Consider the following 24,255-nt stretch of genomic DNA (forward strand, 5'->3'; position numbering starts at 1 on the left):
TGCCACCAAGCCCAGCTAATTTTTTGTATTTTCAGTAGAGATGGGGTTTCACCATCTTGGCCAGGCTGGTCTTGAACTCCTGACCTCATGATCCACCCGCCTCAGCCTCCCAAAGTGCTGGGATTACAGGCATGAGCCACCGTGCTCAGCCACTGGGTTAATTGTTATAGTGGGGTCTTGGATAATCACTAAAGGTGAAATAAAAATTAAAAAAAGTATATTGGTGGAATAAAAATAGAAAAGCCTTCAGAATTGTTGACATACATTTTGTCTGAATTTTGTTTGTCTTTGCCAGATATTTTATTTATTTATTTATTTATTTATTTATTTATTTATTTATTTATTGAGATGGCGTTCTCTATTGCCCAGGCTGCAACGCAATGGTGCGATCTCTGCTCACTGCAACCTCTGCCTCCCAGGTTCAAGCAATTCTCCTGTCTCATCCTCCCAAGTAGCTGGGATTACAGGTGCCTGCTACCACGCTTAGTTATTTTTGTATTTTTAGTAGAGATGGGGTTTCACCATGTTGGCCAGGCTGGTCTGGAACTTGCGACCTCAGGTGATCTGTGGCCTTGGCCTCCCACTGTCTTTGCTGGATATTTTAAAATGTCAGTGTTAATTCAAGCTGGGGGCTTGGGCTGAGCCTGCCTCCCATTCCATTCAAAGTCTCACTGAGATAAATGCATATCTGATTGCTTCCTTTGGAAAAGGTAATCACAAACTCAAAGGATGCAACCCTTTGTCTCCCACCTGTGATCTAAAATCTCCCAAGCCGCCTCCTCTCCAGTTGTCCTGTCTTGTTTGTTTTACATATGTTGATTGATGTCTCATGTCTCCCTTATTAAAAGGAAAAATAAGTACGGTGAATGAGGTAAATGTTTTAGATAAATTTTTGTGTAAATTAAAATCTTAAAGTTATTTTTGATCCTCATTTAATATCTGGGTCATTTCCAATTAAGACAGGGTTGTGATACGGGGAAACATGTTTCTAAAATTGTGGAATTGTTCTTATCTATAAATGCCTATATCTGATAGTTCAGAATTTATTGCTGTTTAGGGTTTCACTGACATTTTACGTTACTAAGGATAAAAATTTTAGTTAACAAGTAATTTTGTATGCAAAATGGGCCAGAAAGGGTTACGTTATTAGTGGAAAAATAATAATTTTGTCTAATTCAGAAGTTATCTAAATTTTGTTCAAATTACAGTTTTGAAAAGATTATTTATGAAACAATGTAGTAAGGAATCATTATAAGTAGGGAAGAAAGTTGTGGAAAAGTTTAATTAATAAAATATTCTTTAAAACCTGAGAGAATTGGAGACATTTGGCTAATGAACATTCTCATAGTTAAAGTTCTTAGTCTTGATTAAAGTAAAATAAGAAGTATTATACAAATGTATCAGCAACCTGGAGCAGTGGCTCACGCCTTTAATCTCAGCCCTTTGGGAGGCCAAGGCGGGTGGATTACCTGAGGTCGGGAGTTCAAGACCAGCCTGACCAACATGGAGAAATCCCATCTCTACCAAAAATACAAAATTAGCCGGGCATGGTGGTGCATGCCTGTAATCCCAGCTACTCGGGAGGCTAAGGCAGGGGAATCACTTGCACCCGGGAGGCAGAGGTTTCGGTGAGCCAAGATCGTGCCATTGCACTCCAGCCTGGCCAACAAGAGTGAAACTCCGTCTCAAAAAAAAAAAAAAAAAAAAAAGTATCAGCAGTTTGACAATTTTTTTTAAAATATAGGTAAGCATGAAGCTGGAATTAGTGTGGAGCCAATTTCACATATATGCTTGCATTGCTTCACACTATGTTGAGGTGGCATCTGCCACCATGCCAGGCTAATTTTGTATTTTTGGTAGAGACGGGGTTTCTCCATGTTGGTCAGGCTGGTCTTGAACTCCCCACCTCAGGTGATCCACCTGCCTTGGCCTCCCAAAGTGTGAGATTACAGGCGTGAGCCACCACGCCATTTGACATGGATACTGTTGGAGTACATATTGGTCATGTGCCTAAAGTAAATTTCTTAATTGTACAGAATATATAATGATATTGGTGAACTTAAGGGTATTGAATTGTGTATCAGGAATTAATGGAGCACACCAGCTTTTTATCCATAAACTAACTTTTTGGATTTTAGGCTTCCTGATACTCTAAATGTGTTGAGTATACTCTCACAAATAGAATTTGAGTCATATTTCTCTCTCTCTGGCTAATTTCTCCAAATTTGTAAACTATGAATATTCTTAATTCATGGCAATGTGTTTCCTTGCATACAGTCAAGCATGGTCACCAGGGCCACTCAGGGAGAGACAATCCAGAAACCTGGCATGCAGCCAAAAGGGTAAGAATTTTTTACCAGTCAGTCTCTGGCCTCTATCTCTGTGTGCAAACTCGTTAATCTCCTCTGAAATTTTAAATTACTTTGTTTAATAATAAAAAGAACTTAAATCAAATATTTTGTCAGAAAAGTAGAGTGTAATGCCTTTTAGTTCACATAACTTTAGCAATCTTTGGGATATAAAGATGGTTTTATAGATTATTGGTAGGAGAGGTGTGGTGGCTCATGCCTGTAATCCCATCGCTTTGGGAGCCCGAGGCAGGCGGATCACCTGAGGTCAGGAGTTCGAGAGCAGCCTGGCCAACATGGTGAAACCCCGTCTCTACTAAAAATACAAAAATTAGCAGGGTGTGGTGGCGGGAGCCCGTAATCCCAACTACTCAGGAGGCTGAGACAGGAGAATTGCTTGAACCCAGGAGGCAGAGGTTGTGGTGAGCCGAGATTGTGCCATTGCACTCCAGCCTGGGCAACAAGAGGGAAACTCTGTCTCAAAAAAAAAAAAAAAACTGTTGGTCAGATGCAAGGTTTGCTAAGTGTTTTAATGTTACAAACTGCTTTTTGGGTTTTGAGAACTGTCTGTCTTGCCTGCTTCACACTTGGTGACACCTGGGGACATATGAAACTAACCACACCCTTAACTAAGAAGGCAAGGCTTGACTGCACTTAGCATACAAGTAAAGCAACTTACCGTGTTTTACCTTAAGGGTAAAATTGCTAGGAATTAATTGAAACTACTAGAAATAGATTTACATGCAAGGTGTGTAAAAACAGTAAAATGTATTTTTATAGTAAAAGGTTAAATGAAGGCATGGAAATGTCAAGTTTTGCCTAGGGTTAAAGGATTGTTTTGAGTTAAATTAGGAAAAAGCTGAAGGTTCAAAGAAGTGGTGGAAGAATTGTGGAAATTAGTCTTGCTGAAGAGGTTCTCTGTGTGAACATGTTGACTAAATTCAAAAGGGTTATAAAAGGTTTTTGCTTCTTTAAAATTTCTGAGCTATCATTTTGGCAAAATAAATAACTTGTAGTAATCTGGAATTCCCAAAATCAAACTTCAGTTTCAAAATTGTCTTCCCTGGCACCTGCCTTTTGGAATACTTCAGAGGGTCCCTGAAGTGTCCAGAAAAGAGAGGTAAACAGGATTAGGTACATGGTATTAAATACAGTGAGTTCTAAATTTTTCTTCAAAGAATCAGTATGTCAGTATGTTCAGTTCTTTGTTCCCCATTTTAAAGTTTAACTTCCTCATTCTCCTCGTCTCCTTGCCCCTGGTTTCAGTAAATGACCTTTTCCATCAGTTCTAATCAGTAGTTCACACCTGTTCCCCTGGTCACCTGCTCCATCCTGAGTCACCCCTGGTTACCCGCTCTGATCTGTCACATTTAGTCATGTGTTCCGTAACCATCCTTCCCACCAAAACTGCTCACCCCGCCATTCTGGTCATACCCCTGCTCTCTTTAAAATAGCCAATCAGAATTAGCTTAGACTGTGCAGTCCAACCCTAGCCTATAGGGCAACGACACAGCAGTAGGGGCTACCTGCATCAGGGATAAGAACCCCTTCCCCTCCCCTGTTCAGGTGTGCTCTCGCCATTGCTCCATCTGTGAGACGCACCCTTCTATAGAAGAAAAATTGCCTTGCTGAGAAAACTCATGTTCAAGTGCTATTTCTTTTGTGGCACTGAAAATTTATTTCTAACAATGGGATTGCCAAAATGATGCTTAATCTTCTTTAGGTTATATTTTTGTGAATAATACTAATATATATTCCAAAATTGTATGGGATTTCTAAAATTCTAATGTCTAAATATATGCTACCAATCACAATTATAGTTATTATGCTGTTATTGTAAATTACAGAAATAACCAAATTTCCTTGTATAAAGCTACTAACCCAAGTAAATCAAATAATTAAATATAAAGAAAACAGTGTTAAACCAGCTAATACTAAAATTGTTTAAAATAGTTTATAACCAATGCTTGATCCCATATTCCTAGGAAAACAATTAAAGTTTCAGGTACATTTGGCCACCTGGTTGGCCATTTAAACATTTTATAAAGGGATATCATTCAATTGTCATTTCAATGCATGTTTTCTGGTTGTATAAAAGCTTTCCTATGCAACAGAGCTGATGTTCTAATAGTAGATTATTATGCTACAGTGTATTTTCACCAGGTTAAAAAAAAGGCTTTTTATGGTTTGGATCTTCTGAGAACATCAGAAAAAGACTGTCCTTGCCATCCACACTACAACAAAACTTAGGGACCTTGAGCTTTGGGTTCATGGTCTTGCAACTAAGAAGGGTTCCTCCACACTTTTGGAACTGTGCACCCATTGTAACCCTTGAGGTAAAGCTAACCAGGGAAATTTCTCCCAAGAAGAAGATGGCATCCTTGATGTGAATATCTTTCCCAAGGTCACAGATTAAGACTTCTAGTGACATGAAACTCTTCTCTTTGAAAGTTTTTTTCTTGCTTATGTCTCTGTGAACAATAGAAGTGGAAAAGTGTCTGTTATGTGCACTAATAGGGTGTACTTTTATTTGTGAAGGAGCTTCCAGCCAGCCTGCAAGTGTAAGGTTACATGGATAAGCTTATACTTTGGTAGATAAAGGATAAAGGCCAATGTATGTAAGAAACTTTAATGGTACATGCATTGCCTCATAATCAGTCAAAAGCAGAACATTGGTTCATTCCTCTTGGCCCATTTCATTGGTTGAAGAGAACACTGCCAGAGGGCCTTCACTCTTCTCAAAGGGCATCATTTGTTAAGTCCTTTTTCCATGATTTGGAGTAAAAGAAGCAATGATTGGAAATATATCCCTCATGATAGGTTCTATAGCAAATTCTACTGTAAAGGCTGCAGTTGCACAGTGATTCTAAATTCTCTTGTGAAAGTTGGGATAGAAATGGCTAAACAGAAAAAGTATCTGTGCAGCTGCTGGCACTTGTGGCCTATGGGGAAATACATCAAATGAGGATTATAAAAATTCAGTAGTGGCCAGGCATAGGTGGCTCACGCCTGTAATCCCAGCACTTTGGGAGGACGAGGCAGGCAGATCATGACATCAGGAGATTGAGACCATCCTGGCTAACACGGTGAAACCCTGTTTCTACTAAAAATACAAAAAATTAGCTGGGTGTGGTGGCGGGCGCCTGTAGGCCCAGCTACTTGGGAGGCTGAGGCAGGAAAATGGCGTGAACCCGGGAGGCGTAGCTTTCAGTGAGCCGAGATCGCGCCGCTGCACTCCAGCCTGGGTGACAGAGCGAGACTCCATCTCAAAAAAAAAAAAAAAAAAAAAAAATTCAGTGATCGGGAATTGATGAAGAAATTGCTTCATTAAGTGAGTAAACTCTTTATCTAGCTCATTCTTTGATCTGTTTGGTTTTAGGAGGTTTGGTTTATGGAGATCTTGGGTAAGGGGCATACTCCAAATTCTTGGTATATCCTCTAATAATAGTCTCCCTGGTGTGCTGCGTTCTCTCAAAGGTTTTAAATGCTTGCATGCAGCCATCTCTAAAATGAAATATAGTTTCTTTTCAACTGGAATAACAAGAGCCAAAAGAATCTGCAACCATGAGGACACCGTAACCTATACCTGACGTGCTGAGAATGAAAACCCAAAATAATAGTAACCAAGAGTGGCACTAAGGCCCTAAGTTTTGGTCCCACTCTCACTCAAGTGAAAACCTGAATAAAGGGGAATTTTTTAAAGAAAATTATGGGAGGCCATTGTTTTGGACTGAGCTCATGCACTAGGCCCCTACAAACCAAACCAAACCAAACCAAAATGGAGTCGCTCGTGCTAAAACTTTAGGGAAACGCATAGATTCTACAAGAGACCAGGTTTTGTTTTTTTTCTCCTGCATATCTCTATAAAAAACATTTCTGACAGCATAGGTATCAACCCCCTGAAGTTCCCATTAAATCTTTTAGCCAAATTCATTTCCTCTCGCCTAGATAATCATCAAGCTTCAGATGATCATGCAACCACGGTTCCAGCCAGTTCCAGGTGAAGACACCACCCCTGGCCATCAAGAAGCTACCCTGCCTCCACGAGATAGAGCATGGCGAGAGTTCCGTGATTTCCAATAGGTAGGGACTATGCCCCAGGTCGGCATGAAGCAGTTACAGAAGAAAGCTCTTCAGTCCCTCTGCCTCACATAAAGATTTATGGGGATCAAGTCTCTCAGCGGGGAGATGAGGCAGGAGAATAGGGCCTGGAGGCAGGGGACCTAAGGCTGTTTTACGCTGACTTCCTAGAACTAAATTGAAAGGAAAACCCTCACTTTCAACGCCTAAGTAACAAAAGGACCAGAGGCTACTCCCTTTGACCTTTTCTGCACTACAGATGGAAAATTGGCTGTGGCAACAAATTAGGCTGACTTCTGGCCTAGTCTTCGTTTGCATACAAGTATAACTTTGTTAACTTCACCCTAGCCTCTGATTGGTTGCTTTTTGCAACCAATCAGATATTTGCACAGGAGTGTGACCTTTGTAACTTCAGTTTAGCCTCTGGTTGTCTCCTTTCTGCAACCAATCAGATTTATTTCGGGCGACCACTCCACTTACATGAGGTGGCCAATGGGAAACTTCTAGGGGGTATTTGAACCAAAGAAGATTCTGTATCCAGGCCCTTGAGCCTCTGCTGAGGCCATCTCCCACAGTGTGGAGTGTACTTTCGTTTTCAGTAAACCCTTGCTTTCATTCTTTTGTTACTTCATTCTTGCTTTGCTTTGCTGGGCATTTTATGCAATTATTTGTTCAAAACGCCAAGAACCTGGACAACTTGCAATCCTGACCCTCTACGGGTCACAAACCCAAGTTGCACCCAACTGGACAAATCTCCAGTAATCCATGTTCAGTGGCGCCTTTATCTCTGGAAGGCGTTTTTTCAAACAGAAAGGGCGGGAGAAAAGGGCTCCAAGACAGGGCTTGATTGAAAATGTGGAACCCTACTGCCACCGTGAGGAAATCGTTTAAAGACGGAATACGCCATCATGGCGTCCTTCTCGGAAAGCCTCCCTGTGGGGGAAAGGCTGATCTGTAGGCCCCCAGGCTATGTCTTCCTGCCTTTTCCTCTAAGGCCTGAAAAGAGACAGGGACATTGGCGGTATCTTGGTGTAGAATCTGGAGAGTGCGGGGTTTGGAGTGAACCAGCAGCTGCCAGGAGGTACTGGCACAGGAAGTCGTGGAGCGGAAACTTGGTTCCTCCGGTGTGGGGAGGACAGTAGGGAACCAGTCAAACACACATAGAGGCTCTTGTGGGCATCTGTCTCTTCTACCTGCCCTTTGGAGCAAGAGTCAGCAGGCTTTCACTTGCTAGCATCTTGCTATGGGTCTTGGGGTTTCTGGTAGCATCAATATCGCTCACAAGGAACACAGTTATTCCAAGGGAAGTTTACAGGATTTGCTGTTAGAACCTTCACTCTCCAGGTTCTACAGCAAGGTACCGCCAATGTCCACGTCTCTTTTAAGGCCTTAGACGAGAAGGCAGGGACTCTGAGCATGGAGCCCAAGCCTCTTCCACCTCCCCACAGACCAGACCTTCCCCAACAGGTAGTCCTCACAAGACGACCCATGTAATGGCGTAGGGATCCGTTAAATGACATCCTCGCGATGGCGGTAGTGCATCAGATATGCCAGAAAGCCCTGTCTTGGAGCACCGCCCCCTTCTCCTGCCCTTCCTGTCTGAAAAAACGCGACTCATAGACAAAGGCGCAACCAAACATGGATGCCTTCTATTTGCCCAGTGTGGAGCCTGCTAGTCTTACTGCTGCACTTTTTCATTTTGTTTTCCACTTGAAATCAAACCGAGGCCTAAAGCACCGGTCCTCATCAGGAATCCAGTTCTTCCAGAAATTAAATATCCTCCTGACCTACTCTGTGTGGGTTTGATTTACTTCAGAGTTACAGGTCCAGTAATTTCCGAGGCATCAAACTGTCTCCTTCAGGGAATACATTCAGTGGATGAACTCACAAAAAAGAGAAAAGGAGCCGGGCGCGGTGGCTCACGCCTTTAATCCCAGCACTTTGGGAGGCCGAAGCTGGCGGATCACCCGAGGTCAGGAGTTCGAGACCATTATGGCCAGCATGGCAAAACCCTGTCTCTACTAAAAATACAAAAATTAGCCGGGCGTGGTGGCACAGGCCTGTAATCCCAGCTACTCCAGAGGAGGAGGCAGGAGAATCACTTGAACCTGGGAGGGGAAGGTTGCAGTAAGCGGAGAGCGCACTATTGCACTCCAGCCTGGGCAACAGAGTGAGAGTGTCTCAAAAAAAAAAAAAGAGAGAGAGAGAGAAAAGGGCTAAAAGCTTGAAAGCTTGGAAAAGAACTCCAGCAAAAAATTTAAAAATCCCAGAGGTCTTCGCCCTGGCTCCCCTGTCAGGCATCCAGGGAATTCTTCCTATTCTAAGAGCCTTATGTGGTACATCATAGGCAACAATTTGGCATGAGCCATTAGAGGAGAAACCAGGTGACGCTCCTTACTGCATGCCATATATACTCCAAATGCCATGATACTCATAGAACATATGTTCAATTCATATCAAGGTGGCTCAGGGTTTCATCTCATGGTCTCATCATTTAACATCAAAACACAGCATGTGCCCGTGCCATTACATATTCTTCAAGTATTCCCTGAGACTTTATGGGGTGTGTGTTTGTGTTCGTGTTTGTGTGTGTCTCTGAGAGTTTTATAATTGGTCTTTTAAGTATAAGGATTACAGTATTCTCCAACTAGTAAATTAAAGAATAATGCTTGACAAAGATTAAGAAAAATCCATGTATTAACACAGAAAACCGCTACCATACAACTTGTCAAGGTAACTCATGAACTTATGGATTATTTCCATGCATCTTTCAAAATGTGCATACATTAACTTCATGCAAAAAAATAAATCTGTGTAAAAAGTGGATTACTGTGTACATAGTGGTTTGGATCAGACCAAATGTGTATTTTAATGAAACTTTCAGATGCATGAATTAATTCAAATGTCACCAGTACTAAGTCTTATATGTCAACATTTCATGCCTTCAATATAAATAAAGGTAAATCTTAACATACAGCCTCAGGAAAATTACTTTAGTAAAGTAGACAATATCAGCTCTTTGATTTTTTACAGCTACATCACTACACATTTCTAAAAAAAAGTTCATGAAGAGACAAAGACATCAGAAATTATGGCTACCTAACATTTTGCTCAATTTGTGTAAACAATTTCCACTCTTAACCATTTGCTTTTGGTTTCCATTGGATATTAACCTGAGATGTAATCCATGCACCCTCATCAAGCATCTCATCTTTTTAAGAACTCAGTTTCTGCACAACCAAATCTTCCCATTTCTACTCTTTTTCACTCTGCATCATATCTGCAGTATTTTATTGTGATATCAAATAGTCTTGTAGTAATGGGGAGAGACCTTAGGTTTCCATGCCTAAGGAGAGAAGAAAAAAAAAAGCTCACCTCTAAAGGCTTGGAGAAGAGCAAATCTAGGCACCAGGCCACGTGGTTCTTGTCCTGATTCCCTACTCAGGTTCCCCGGGAATTTTACTCCATGTTCTAATCTAGTCAGTAGGCCTTATACATTGAGGGGGAGGATGCTATTTAGTGGGGCACTAACATAAGGGTACGGATAGCTCTCAAGCCTGACAAGACACACACAGCCCTACTTGAATAGACACAAACACAGGAATGACTGTAAATACTAATCAGATTGATCACAGGATTTTGTCTCATAGTTTCATTATTTAACACTGAATTAGAAATATTTTCCAGTGTCATTAAATGGCTGTCACTTAGGACTGTGCCCTATGACTTTCTTGTGTATGTGTCTTATTGTTTTTCAGTTGGGAATCAGTCCTATATTTTCTCATTAGTAACAAAGACATGGAATTTGCAAAGAAGTTAAAAATAACCATGTGCTGATCAAGAGAAAAGCAATGTCATAAAACTGTATTAAACAATGATCATTGTTTCCATATTTCCTCTCATTTTTTCAACACTCAGATAAAAAGTTCTATATATACAGTCAAACACCACAATAAATTTACATTTTACTTGAATTTAGATATATAAATAAAGTTGAAGAATTAAAAGTTTCACATCTGATTCCTGAGGTTTTTTTATTCTCATAAGAAAGTTGCAATATCTGAATTTTAGACAATAAAATATTTGCAAAAACTTCTTGATTGGACTATTCATCAAAACATAAGTTCTCCATTTTCACTTTTATATCTAAAATATATGTATATTTATACACACATAAAATAGAAACACGTTTATATACAATAGAAACATATGTATTATACATACTTATACCTAGAAAATTAGGATGTTTAATTCTTCTCAAATTTTTATTCTTAATTCTTTCCTTAAAATTTTATCTTTGAAACCTCAAAAGAAAGATAGCAAAATTCAATAAATGATAGTTGAAATAGGCATCTCTCACATTCAGTCACCTGGAGGTGTAACCTAAGAAAACTGTAAGATGGATGCATTCACACAACTCACATGCAGCTAGAATGCTTTATTACTGTCTCTGTTTATATAATGACAAATTAAAGTTTTGAATTTGTTGGCCAAAAATACCATCTTCAAACGTATACTCATTATAACACCTACCATGATTAAATATATATAGCATTGGCCGGGCCCAGTGGCTCACTACTGTAATCCCAACACTATGGGAGGCCAAGGCAGGAGGATAGCTTGAGCCCAGGAGTTCAAGACCATTCCTGGCAATGTAGTGAGACCCCGTATCTACAAAAAATACAACAAATAACCAGGCATGGTGGCGTGCAACAGAAGCCCCAGCTATGTAGGAGGCGGAGATGGGACGACCACCTGAGTCCAGGGAGGTTGATTCTGCAGTGACCCATGATCATGCCATTGCACTCTCACCTGGGCAACAATGAGACACTGTCATATATATATATATATATATATATATATATATATATATTTTTTTTTTTTTAATATTGTTATATACCTACAGACAGATATAAATACACACACACTCAACACAGTTTAAATATAATTGGATGTATACTGTTTGAAATTTGTACAAAATCTTCAGCATTGTCTTATATGCCTTGAATATATCTACATCCATATGTACTTTTGAGTGCTTGGAATTTTTTTATATTTTACTCTAGAAGAACTTTAAGATATTACAAAGCAGAAAACATGCTGGGTCTCATATAGTGAGAAGAAATAATGACTTTTAAAATGTCTGTGCTAGGTATTATCATCTGTTCACTCTGCACATATAATATGGACTTTTATAACCTAATGTTCAAATTCCCCTATAGTACAACTGTTTTTGTTTTTTAATGTTGGATATGGGGTTTCCCTATGTTGACCAGTTTGATCTCGAAATCCTGGCCTCAAGCAATCCTCCCATGTCAGCCTCCCAAAGTGCTAGGATTACAGGCATGAGGCACCAAGCCCAGCCACCTCGTAGTATAACTGTTAAAACAAGATTTCTTCACTGATAACTTGAGTACTTTTCAAATATAATTATTCATGGAAATAATGACAGGTTTAAAATTATTGGCACTTTTTAAAACTGAGTTGGTAAAATTCATATAACATAAAATTAACCATTAAAATGTGTGAAATTCAGTGGCATTTAGTACTTTCACAATGCAGTGCAAGCACTATCTCTATCTATTGGCAAAGCACTTTCATTACCACAAAAGAAAACCCTGGACCCATTAAGCATTCCCCATTCCACTCTCTGCCCAGCCCCTGGCAAACACTCATCTACTTTCCCTCACTACTGATCATCACAATAAGTGGTCTTTTCCAAAGTCTTGCTTTTTTCACTTAGCGCGTTTCAAATTTCATGCATTGGTTATCTATCTTATTGACATCTACCTCTTGGATATGGATCTTCGCTATTGTACCTTCATCCACCCAATTTATCACCTGAAGGAGACAATTTGATGCCATGGAACTTGCTGGACCTGCAACTGTGTGAAGTAAATCATACCCAGATAGACTCAGTGAGGAGTATATTTAATTTCTGAAAGAACAAAATTCCTGATAAGCACGGGTGGTTTAAGCTGAATTTTGTTTTTAGTTGGAAAAACAAAACAAAACCAAAAAAAAATCAACAGTTAAGACCAGGTTGCACCAAACTGGACAAATCTCCAGGCAGCTATGTTTGGTGGCGCCTTTATCTCTGGTTTGCTTATTTCATAGACGAAGGGCAAGAGAAAGGCCTCAAACATAGGGCTTCCCTGAAAATGTGCAACACTACTACTACCGTGAGGAAATCGCTTAAAGACATAATACTCCACTAGAGCCTCCTTCCCAGGAAGCCTCGCTGTGGGGAAAGGCTGATCTGTTGGGAGGTGGGAGAGGCTTGGCCTCCAGGCGAGGTCTTCTTGCCTTCTCCTCTAACGCCTGAAGAGTGACATAGACATTGGTGGTATCTTGGTGTAGAACCCGGAGAGTGAGGGGCTTGGAGTGAACCAGCAGCTGCCAGGCGGTCCTGGCACAGGAAGTCGTGGGTCGGGGCCTCAGTTCCTCCTGGTGTGGGCAGGACTGCAGGAACCCACTCAAACACACATTGAGGCTTTTGTAGGCATCTGTCTCTTCTTCCTGTCCCTTGGAGCAAGAGTCAGCAAGCTTTCTGATGTTGGCATCTTGCTATGGGTCTTTGGGTCTCTGTGACCAAACAACAGGTTTATTCAAAGGGAAGTTTACAGGATTTGTTATTAGAAGCTTCACACTCCAGGTTCTATAGCAAGATATTGCCAATGTCCAGGTCTCTTTTAAGGCCTTAGACAAGTAGGCAAGGACGCCCAGCATGGAGGCCAAGCCTCTTTCACCTCTTACCAGACCACACCTACCCCAACAGGTAGTGCTCAGAGAACTCTGTAATGGCGTTAAACGACTATAATTCGTTAAACGTCTTCCTCGTGATGGCAGTAGTGCTCCAGATATGCCAAGAAGTCCTGTTACGTAGCCCTCTTCTCCCGCCCTTCCTGTCTGAAAAAACGCCACACATAGACAAAGAGCCACCAAACATGGATGTCTTCTATTTTGCCCAGTTTGGAGCCAGCTGGTCTTACTGCTGTGCTTTTTCTTTTTGTTTTCCACTTGAAATCAAACCAAGGCCTAAACCAACCACCCTCATCAGGAATTTTGTTCTTTAAGAAATTATTCTACTGACCTAGTCTGTGTGGGTTTCATTTACTTCAGAGTTACAGGTCCAATAATTTCCGTGGCATCAAACTGTCTTTTTCAGGGGATAGCTTCAGTGTATGAACGCACAAAAAGGAGAAAAGGGCTGAAAGCTTGGAAAGGAACTCCAGCAACAATTTAAAAATCCCAGAGATCTTGGCCCTGGCTCCCCTGTCAGGCATCCAGGGAATTCTTCCTATTCTAAGAGCCTTATGTGGTACATCGTAGGCAACAATTTGGCATGAGCCATTAGAGGAGAAACCAGGTGACGCTCTTTATTGCATGCCATGTATACTCCACATGGCATGATACTCATAGTACATATGCTCAATTCCTGTCAAGGTGACTCAGAGTTTCAACTCATGGTCTCATCATTTAACATCAAAACACAGCATGTGCCCATGCCACTACATATTCTTCAAGTATTCCCTGAGACTTTATGGGCTGTGTGTGGTTGTGTTTGTGTGTGTCTCTGAGAGTTTTATAATGTCTTTTAGGTATAAGAATTAACTAGTAAATTAAAGAATAATGCTTGACAAAGATTAAGAAAAATCCATGTATTAATAATGAAGAAAACCACTACCATACAACTAGTCAAGGCAACTTAAGAACTTTTGGATTATTTCCAGGAATATCTTTAAATATGTACATACATTGTTAATTTCATGAAAAAATAAATCTGTATTGAAAGTGGATTACTGTGTACACTGTGGTTTGGATCAGATCAAGTGTGCATTTTAACAAACCTTTGAGGAGGGTGAATTCATTTGAATGTCACCAGTACGAAGTCTTATATGTCAACATTTCATGCCTTCAATATGAGTAAAGGTAAACCTTAAAATAGGGCCTCACGAATATTACTTTAGAAAAGTAGACACTTATCATCTTTTTGTTTGAATTTTTAAAGATGCATTACTATACGTTTCAAAACAAAACGCCATGAAGAGACAAAGACAACAGAAACTACGGATACCTAATATTTTGCTCAATATGTGTAACCATTTTCCACTCTTAACCATTTGCTTTTGGCTTCCATTGGATATTGAACTGAGATGAGATCCACTCACCCTCAACAAGCATCTCCTCTTTTTAAGAACTCAGTTTCTGCACAACCAAATCTCCCCACTTCTACTCTTTTTCATTCAGCATCCTATCAGCAGTGTTTTATTATGATAACAAATAGTCTTGTTGTATTGGGAACAGACCTTAAGGATCCATGCCTAAGAAAGAATTAAAAATAAAGCTTACCCCCAAGGTCTTGGAGAAGAGCAAATCTAGGCACTGGGCCACGTGGTTGTTGTCCTTACTCCCTCCCCAGGTTCCCTGGGAGTTTTACTCCATGTTCTGACCTAGTCATTAGGCCTTATATGTTGAGCGGGAGGCCACTATTTAGAGGGGCTATAACATAAGTGCCCATGTAACTCTTAAACCTGACAAGACACACACAGCCCTGTTTGAATGGACACAAACGAATGACTATAAATGCTAATCAGATGGATCACAGGATTTTGTCTCATGGTTTCATTATTCAACATTGGAACAGAAATATTTTCCAATGTCATTAAAAGGCTATGACTGGCTGGGTGTGCTGGCTCACACCTGTAATCCCAGCAGTTTGGGAGGCCGAGGTGGGCAGATCACTTGAGGTCAGGAGGTCGAGATAAACCTGGCCAACATGGTGAAACCCTGCCTCTACTAAAATACAAAAAAATTAGCCAGGTATGGTGGTGCATGCCCATAATCCCAGCTACTTGGGAAGCTGAGGCAGGAGAATTGCTTGAACCCAAGGCAGAGGTTGCAGTGAGCTAAGGTCGTGCCGATGCACTCCACCATGGGTAACAAAGTGAGACTCCATCCGTCTCAAAACAAACAAAAAGGCTATGACTTAGGACTGCCTCTTATGACTTTGTTGTGTATGTGTCTTACTGTTTTTCACCTAGGAATCAGTCCTATACTTTCTTATTAGTAAGGAAGACATGGAATTTGCAATGAAGTTAAAAAAAACCCTTTGGGAGGTGGGGGCAGGTGGATCACAAGGTCAAGAGATTGAGACCATCCTGCCAACATGGTGAAACCCCATCTCTACTAAAAACACAAAAATTAGCTGAGTCTGGTGGTGCGCACCTGTAGTCCCAGCTACTCGGGAGGCGGAGGCAGGAGAATCACTTGAACCTGGGAGGCAGAGGTTGCAGTGAGCCGAGATCACCCCACTGCACTCCAGCCTGGCGACAGAGTAAGACTCCCTCTCAAGGAAAAGAAAGGGGGCGGGGGGAGGGGGGCGGTGGCTCATGCCTGTAATCTCAGCACTGTGGGAGACCTAGGAGGGCAGATCACCTGATGTCGGGAGTTCAAGACCAGACTGACCAACATGGTGAAACCCCGTCTCTACTAAAAATACAAAATTAGCCAGGTGTGGTGGCACATGCCTGTAATCTCAGCTACTTGGGAGGCTGAGGCAAGAGAATCACTTGAACCTGGGAGGCAGAGGTTGCGGTGAGCCGAGATCATGCCATTGCACTCCAGCCTGGGCAACAAGAGCAAAACTACGTCTCAAAAAAAAAAAAAAAAGGAAAGAAATAAAAATAAAAATAACCATGTGCTGATCCAGAGAAAACCAATGTAATAAAACTGTATTAAACAATATTAACCGTTTCCATATTTACTCCAATTTTTTACACACAGATCAAAAGTTCTATATATACAGTCAAACACGACAATAAATTTACATTTTACTTCAATTTAGCTATATATAAGGTTAAAGAACTAAAAGTTTCACCACTGATTCCTTAGGAGTTTTTGATATTCTCATAAAAAATTTGCAATATCTGAACTTTAGACAATAAAATACTTGCAGAGAACTTGTGATTGGCCTATTCATAAAAACATAAGATCTCAACTTGCACTTTTAAATCGAAAATATGTATGTATTTACACATACATAAACATATAAATACATATTTATATACAACATAAACATATGTATTATACATATTTATACCCCTGAAAATTAGGATTTTTAATACTTCTCAAATTTTTACTCCTAGTTCTTACCACAAAACATTATCTTTAAAATTTCAGGCTGGGCGCAGTGGCTCAAGCCTGTAATCCCAGGACTTTGGGAGGCTGAGGTGGGCAGATCACGAGGTCAAGAGATTGAGACCAACCTGGCCAACATGGTGAAACCCCGTCTCTACTAAAAATACAAAAAAATTAGCCAGGCATGGTGGTGCATGCCTATAGTCCCATCTACTCGGGGGGCTGAGGCAGGAGAATCACTTGAATCCAGGAGGCAGAGGTTGCAGTGAGCTGAGATTGAGCCACTGCACTCTAGCCTGGTGACAGAGCGAGACTCCATCTCACACACACAAAAAAGAAATTTCAAAAGAAGGATAACAAAATTCAATAAATGGTAGTTGAAATAGGCATCTCTCACATTCCAGTCACCTAGATGTGTAACCTAAGAAAACTGTAAGATGGATGCATTCACACAACTCACATGGAGCTAGAGTGCTTCATTAGTGTCTCTGTTTATATAACGATGAATTAAAGATATGAATTTACTGGTCAAAAATATCATCTTCAAACATATACTCACTATAACACCTACCACGATTAAAAAGATATGGCATTGGCCGGGCATGGTGGCTCACAACTGTAATTCTAGCACTTTGGGAGGCCTAGGCAGGTGCATAGCTTGAGCCTAGGAGTTCAAGTCCAGCCCTGACAATGTAGAGAGACCCCGTCTCTTCAAAAAATACAAAAAATAGCCAGGCATGGTGACCTACAATGGAAGCCCTAGCTACGTAGGAGGCGGAAATGGGAGGATCACCTCAGCCCAGGGAGGCTGATGTTGCAGTGAGCCATGATCATGCCTCTACACTCCACCCTGGGCAACAGAGTAAGATGCTGTCTAAAATATATATATATGCATATCTGTGTGTATATATATATATATATATGTGTGTGTGTGTGTGTGTATATACATATGTGTGTGTATATACATATATGTGTATATATATATGTGTGTATATATACATATACATATTCAGCATCACCTTATATTCTTTGAATATATCTACATCAATACATACTTTTGAGTGCTTGAAATTTTTTATATTTTACTCTAGAAGAACTGTAAGAAATTATAAAGTAGAAAACTTGTGGTAGGTCAAACATAGTAAGAAGAAATAATCACTTTTTAAAGGTCTGTGCTAGGTACTATGATCTGTTCCCTATATATACATAATATGGACTTTTATAAACTAATGTTCAAATTCCCCTGTAGTATAACTTCTTGTTGTTGTTTATTTTTTTTTTTTTGTATTTTTCATTTTAGATATGGGGTTTCACTCTGTTGACCAGGCTGATCTCGAACCACTGGTCTCAAGCGATCCTCCCATCTTGGACTCCCAAAGTGCTAGGATTACAGGCACGAGGCACCTTGACTGGCCACCATGTACTATAGCTGTTAAAACAAGTTTGTTTCACTGATAACTGGAGTACTTTTCAAATATAATTAATAATTCATGGAAATAATGATAGCTTTAAAAGTATTGGCACTTTTAAAAACTGAGTTTGTAAACTTCATATAACATAAAATTAACCATTAAAATGTATTAATTTCAATGGCATTTAGGACACTCACAATGCAGTGCAAGCATTACCACTATGTAGTGGCAAATCATTTTCACTACCACAAAAGAAAATCCTGGACCCATTAGTTAGTCATTCCCCATTCCACTCTCTGCCCAGCCCCTGGCAAACACTCATCTGATTTCCCTCACTACTGATCATCACAACAAGTGGCCTTGTTCATCTTGTTGTGGGAACCAGGAGACCAGAGAGACCAATGGGTGGAACAGGAGGATTTTACTAGGTGGTCACCGACTCAGCAGATTAACATCCAAAGGCTGAGCCCCAAACCAAGAGAGGGCTTGACTTTTATACATATATCTGAAAAGGGCCCAAAACCTGTAAGGCCGGTAAGCAAGCTTACAGCAGAACAAAGGCAGTTTATCAAACAGTGACAGGTTTTACAGTTCAGGCATGTCTTGTGACCTTTGCCATAACTGCACAGCTGGAAAACAGGAACTTACAAAATCCTTACAAGCTTGCAGAAACAGTTACAAAAATAGTTGTGAGAGCAGAACAAAGAATAATGGTATGGGGAAAGAATTTCAAAGGGGAAACTGATAAAAAGAACTTGTTTTTCTTTCTTTTTTTTTTTTAGATGAAGTCTTGCTCTTGTCCCCCAGGCTGGAGTGCAATGGTGTGATCTCGGTTCACTGCAACCTCCTCCTCCCGGGTTCAAGTGATTCTCCTGTCTCAGCCTTCCAAGTAGCTGGGATTACAGCTGCCTGCCAACATGCCTGGCTAATTTTTGTATTTTTAGTAGAGACGGGGTTTCACCATGTTGGCCAGGCTGGTCTTGAACTCCTGATCTCAGGTGATCCTCCCACCTCGGCCTCCCAAAGTGCTGGGGTTACAGGTGTGAGCCACCGTGCCTGGCCAAATAACTTGTTTTTCTTATCCCTGCTTCTAGAGCCCACTCCTTCTCGGCCCCCACTCTGCTGATAGTGCTATCAAAGTCCTGACAGAGCCCTACTTATCGCTGGGCCTTGGAGTGAGTCAGCCCAGCACAGAGAACCAGCTTTTCTCTCCCTTTTTTTTTTCTTTTACATCTCCTGCTTCAGTACTGCTTCTTTCACTTAGCGCTTCAAACTTCATGAATTGGTTTTCTATCTCTTTGATATCTGTCTCTTAGATATCTATCTCTTAGATATCTTTCTTTGTTTTTGTACCTTCATCCATCCAATGTATCACCTGAAGGAGACAATTTGATACCATGGAACTTCCAGGCCTTGTAACTGTGTGAGGTAAATCATACCCAGATAGCTTCAGTGAGGAGTATATTTAATTTCTGAAACAACAGGATTCTTGAGAAGCATGGGTGGTTTAGGCCTCATTTTGCTTTCAGATGGAAAAAAAAAAAAAGTAAAAATTCAACAGTAAGACCAGGTTGCACCAAACTGGACAAATCTCCAGGTAGCCATATTGGGTGGCATCTTTGTCTCTGGGTGGCGTTTTTTCAGACGGGAAGGGCGGGAGTAAAGGGCTCCAAGATAGGGATTCCTTAATAATGTGAAGCACGACTGCCACCGTGAGGAAATCCTTTGAAGACACAATACGCCATTACAGCGTCCTTCCCAGAAAGACTTGCTGTGGGGGGAAGTCTGAACTGTGGGAGGTGGCAGACGCTTGGGCTCCAGGCTAGGTCTTCTAGCTTTCTCCTCTAAGACCTGAAGAGAGGCCTTAACATTGGTAGTAGCTTGGTGTAGAACCAGGAGAGTGAGGGGCTTGTAGTGAACCAGCAGCTGCCAGGCGATCCTGGCACAGGAAGACGTAGGGCGGGGCCTCGGTTCCTCCAAGTGTGGGCAGGACTGAAGGCACCCATTCAAACACACATGGAGGCTCTTGTGGGCATCTGTCTCTTCTTCCTGTCCCTTGGAGCAAGAGTCAGCAGGCTTTCTCGAACTAGCATCTTGCTACGGGTCTTTGGGTCTCTGGTAGCACCAGTACCGCGCACAAACAACAGGTTTATTCCAGGGAAGTTTACAGGATTTGGTATTAGAACCTTCACACTCCAGGTTCTATACCAAGACACCGCCAAAGTCCTGGTGTCCTTTAAGGCCTTAGACGAGAAGGCTAGGACTCCCAGCATGGAGCAAGCCTTTTCCACCTCCCCACAGAGAACTTCCCCAACAAGTAGTCCTCAGGAGAACACCGTAATGGCGTAGGGATTTGTTAAACAACATCCTCGCGATGGCAGTAGTGCTTCAGGTATGGGACGAAGCACTGTTCCAGAGCCCTCTTTTCCCGCCCCTCCTGTCTGAAAAAACGCCACCTATAGACAAAGGCCCTGCAGAATGGGTGCCTTACATTTAGCCCAGTTTGCAGCCAGCTAGTCTTACTGCTGAGCTTTTTCTTTTGGTTTCCAGTTCAAATGAAACCAAGGCCTAAACCACCCGCCCTCATCAGGAATCTTGATCTGTGTTAAAAGTGGATTACTGTGTACACTGTGATTTGGATCACACCAAGTGTATTTTTTTTTTTTTTTTTGAGACGGAGTCTCCGCTCTGTCGCCCAGGCTGGAGTGCAGTGGTGTATCTCTGCTCACTGCAAGCTCCGCCTCCCGGGTTCACGCCATTCTCCTGCCTCAGCCTCCCGCCTAGCTGGGTCTACAGGCGCCCGCCACCACGCCCTGCTAATTTTTTGTACTTTTTAGTAGAGACGGCGTTTCACCGTGTTAGCCAGGAAGGTCTCGATCTCTTGACCTCGTGATCCGCCCGCCTTGGTCTCCCAAAGTGCTGGGATTACAGGTGTGAGCCACCGCGCCCACCCACCCCGAGTGTGTATTTTAACAAACATTTGAGGATCGTGATTTTATTAGAATGTCACCAGTACTAACTCTTTTTTTTTTTTTTTTTTTTTTTTTTTTGAGATAGAGTCTCGCTCTGTCGCCCAGGCTGGCGTGCAGTGGTGGGATCTCCGCTCACTGCAAGGTCTGCATCCCGGGTTCAAGGGATTCTCCTGCCTCAGCCTCCTGAGCAGCTGGGATTACAGGCGTGCACCACCACGCCCATGGAGTTTCACCATGTTGGTCAGGCTGGTCTCGAAATCCCGACCTCGTGATCCGCTGGCCTCAGCCTCCCAAAGTGCTGGGATTACAGGTGTGAGCCACCCCACCCGGCCCAGTACTAAGTCTTATATCTCAACATTTCACACCTTCAATATAAATAAAGGTAAATCTTAACATAGGGCCTCAGGAATATTACTTTAGTAAAGTAGACACTATCAGTTTTTTGTGGAATTTTTACAGATACATCACTACATGTTTCTAAAAAAAGGCCATGAAGAGACAAAGACACCAGAAACTATGGCTCCCCAACATTTTGCTCAATTTTTGTAAACATATTACACTCAGCAATTTGCTTTTAGTTTCCATTGGATATTAAACTGAGATGTAATCCACTCACCCTCATCAAGCATCTCCTCCTTTTAATAACTTAGTTTCTGCACAACCAAGTCTTCCCATTTCTACTCTTACTCACTCAGCATCATATCTATAGTGTTTTATTATGATATCAAGTACTCTTGTAGTATTCTGGAAAGACCTTAGCTTTCCATGCCTAAGGAGAGAAGAAAAAAAAAGCTTACCCCTAAGGTCTTGGAGAAGAGCAAATCTAGGCACAAGGCCACGTGTTTCTTGTCCTGACTTCCTCCCCAGGTTCCCTGGGAGTTTTACTCCATATTCTGACCTAGTCATTAGGCCTTATATGTTGAGGGAGGGGCGGCTATTTAGTGGGGCTCTAACATAAGGGCTCAGATAGCTCTCAATTCTGACAAGACACACACAACCCTACTTGAATGGACACAAATACAGGAATGACTATAAGTCCTAATCAGATGGGTCACGGGATTTTGTCTCATAGTTTCATTATTTAACATTGGAACAGAAATATTTTCCAGTGTCATTACAAGGCTATGACTTACAACTGTGTTCTATGACTTTGTTGTGTATGTGTCTTACTGTTTTTCAGTTAGGAATCAGTCCTATATTTTCTTATTAGTAACAAAGACATGGAATTTGCAAAGTGAAAAGTAACCAACTGCTGATGAAGAGAAATGCGACGTCATAAAACTGTGTATTAAACACTGATAACCGTTTCCATATTTACTCATATTTTTTTCTTTTCTTTTTTTTTTTTTTTTTTGAGAGGGAGTCTCGCTCTGTTGCCTAGGTTGGAGTGCATTGGCGCTATCTTGGCTTACTGCAAGCTCTACCTCCCGAGTTCACGCCATTCTCCTGCCTCAGCCTCCCAAGTACCTGGGACTACAGGCGCCTGCCAACACGCCCCGCTAATTTTTTGTATTTTTAGTAGAGACGGGGTTTCACCATGTTGGCCAGGATGGTCTCGATCTCCTGACCTCATGATCCACCCACCTCGGTCTCCCAAAGTGCTGGGATTACAGGCATGAGCCACTGTGCCTGGCCTACTCCTATTTTTTCAATACACAGATAAAAAAGTTCTATATATACAGTCAAACACCACAATAAATTTACATTTTACTTGAATTTATCCATACATAATGATGAAGATTAAGATTTCCACATCTGATTCTTAAGGAGTTCTTGATATTCTCATAAAAATTTGCAATATCTGAATTTTTTACAATAAAATATTTGCAAAGAACTTCTTGTTTGGACTATTCATCAAAACATAAGTTCTGAACTTGCACTTTTAAATTTAATATATATATTTATACATACATAAACATATAAATCCATATTTATATACAATATAAACATATGTATGTTACATACTTATACCTATGAAAATAAGGATTTTTAATTCTTCTTCAAATTTTATTGCTAATTCTTACCTTAAAATTTTATCTCTAAAATCTCAAAAGGATAAAAAATTTAATAAATGGTAATTGAAATAGGCATCTCTCACTTTCAGTCAGCTAGATGTGTAACCTAAGAAAACTGTAAGATGGATGCATTCACACAGCTTACATGCAGCTAGAATGCTTCATTAGTGTCTCTGTTTATATAACGATGCATTAAAAATGTGAATTTGTTCACCAAAAATGCCATCTTCAAACATATACTCAGTATAACATCTACCACGATTAAAAATTTATAGCATTGGCTGGGCGCGGTGGCTTACAACTGTAATTGCAGCACTTTGGGAGGCCGAGGCAGGTAGACAGCTTGAGCCCACGAGTTCAATACCAGCCCTGGCAATGTAGGTAGAACCTGTGTCTACAAAAAATACAAACTATAGCTGGGCATGGTGGGGTACAACAGAAGCCCCAGGTACGTATAGGAGGCAGAGGTGGCAAGATCACCTGATCCCAGGGAGATTGATGCTGCATTGATCCATGATCATCATGCCACTGCACTCCAGCCTAGGCAACAGTGAGACAGTCTCATATATATATATGGCATTTAAAATTTTGTAATATATCTCCAGACAGATATAAATACACACACACTTGATACAGTTTAAATATAATTGGATGCATAATGTTTGAAATTTGTACAAAATCTGCAGCATCACTTTATGCTCTTTGAATATATCTACATCAATATATACTTTTGAGTGCTTTAATTTTTTTGTATTTTATTCTACAAGAACTTTAAGAAATTATAAAGCAGAAAACATATGGTAGGTCAAACATAGTGAGAAGAAATAATCACTTTTCCCTATGCACATATAATATGGACTTTTTAAAACTAATGTTCAATTTCCTCTGTAGTATAACAGGTTTTTTACTTTTTATTTTAGATATGGGTTTTCGTTGCCGGGCAGGTTAGCTCACGCCTGTAATCCCAGCACTTTGGGAGGCTGAGGCGGGCGGATCACAAGGTAAGGAGATTGAGACCATCCTGGCTAAAATGGTGAAACCCGTCTCTACTAAAAATACAAAAAATTAGCCGGGTGTGGCGGCACACGCCTGTAGTCCCACCTACTTGGGAGGCTGAGGCAGGAGAATTGCTTGAACCCAGGAGGCGGAGGTTGCAGTGAGCCCAGATCGCGCCACTGCACTCCAGCCTGGGCGACAAAGCGGGATTCTGTCTCAAAAAAAAAAAAAAGATATGGGGTTTCGCTATGTTGACCAGGCTGACCTCGAACTCCTGACCTCAAGCCATCCT

At 41.1% G+C, this 24,255-nt stretch overlaps 1 long non-coding RNA gene across 2 annotated transcripts in view, besides 5 other annotated features; it reads right to left on the reverse strand.

Moving 5' to 3' along the window:
* The window catches only part of FIRRE (firre intergenic repeating RNA element), a 139,119-nt gene that overhangs the window by 30,003 nt on the left and 84,861 nt on the right, over positions 1 to 24,255 (reverse strand). The window lies entirely within an intron of this gene.
* Positions 6,950 to 7,239: an enhancer, noted in NCBI's record as "active region_29950". NCBI's record gives its function as "activates an Ori minimal core promoter by ATAC-STARR-seq in GM12878 lymphoblastoid cells {active_cell/tissue: GM12878}" and the evidence as "EXISTENCE:reporter gene assay evidence [ECO:0000049][PMID:35858748]".
* Positions 7,430 to 7,579: an enhancer, noted in NCBI's record as "active region_29951". NCBI's record gives its function as "activates an Ori minimal core promoter by ATAC-STARR-seq in GM12878 lymphoblastoid cells {active_cell/tissue: GM12878}" and the evidence as "EXISTENCE:reporter gene assay evidence [ECO:0000049][PMID:35858748]".
* Positions 7,680 to 7,739: an enhancer, noted in NCBI's record as "active region_29952". NCBI's record gives its function as "activates an Ori minimal core promoter by ATAC-STARR-seq in GM12878 lymphoblastoid cells {active_cell/tissue: GM12878}" and the evidence as "EXISTENCE:reporter gene assay evidence [ECO:0000049][PMID:35858748]".
* Positions 12,925 to 13,044: an enhancer, noted in NCBI's record as "active region_29953". NCBI's record gives its function as "activates an Ori minimal core promoter by ATAC-STARR-seq in GM12878 lymphoblastoid cells {active_cell/tissue: GM12878}" and the evidence as "EXISTENCE:reporter gene assay evidence [ECO:0000049][PMID:35858748]".
* Positions 19,530 to 19,779: an enhancer, noted in NCBI's record as "active region_29954". NCBI's record gives its function as "activates an Ori minimal core promoter by ATAC-STARR-seq in GM12878 lymphoblastoid cells {active_cell/tissue: GM12878}" and the evidence as "EXISTENCE:reporter gene assay evidence [ECO:0000049][PMID:35858748]".

The sequence above is a fragment of the Homo sapiens genome, chromosome X (assembly GCF_000001405.40).
Source record: "Homo sapiens chromosome X, GRCh38.p14 Primary Assembly".
Classification (NCBI taxonomy): domain Eukaryota; kingdom Metazoa; phylum Chordata; class Mammalia; order Primates; family Hominidae; genus Homo; species Homo sapiens.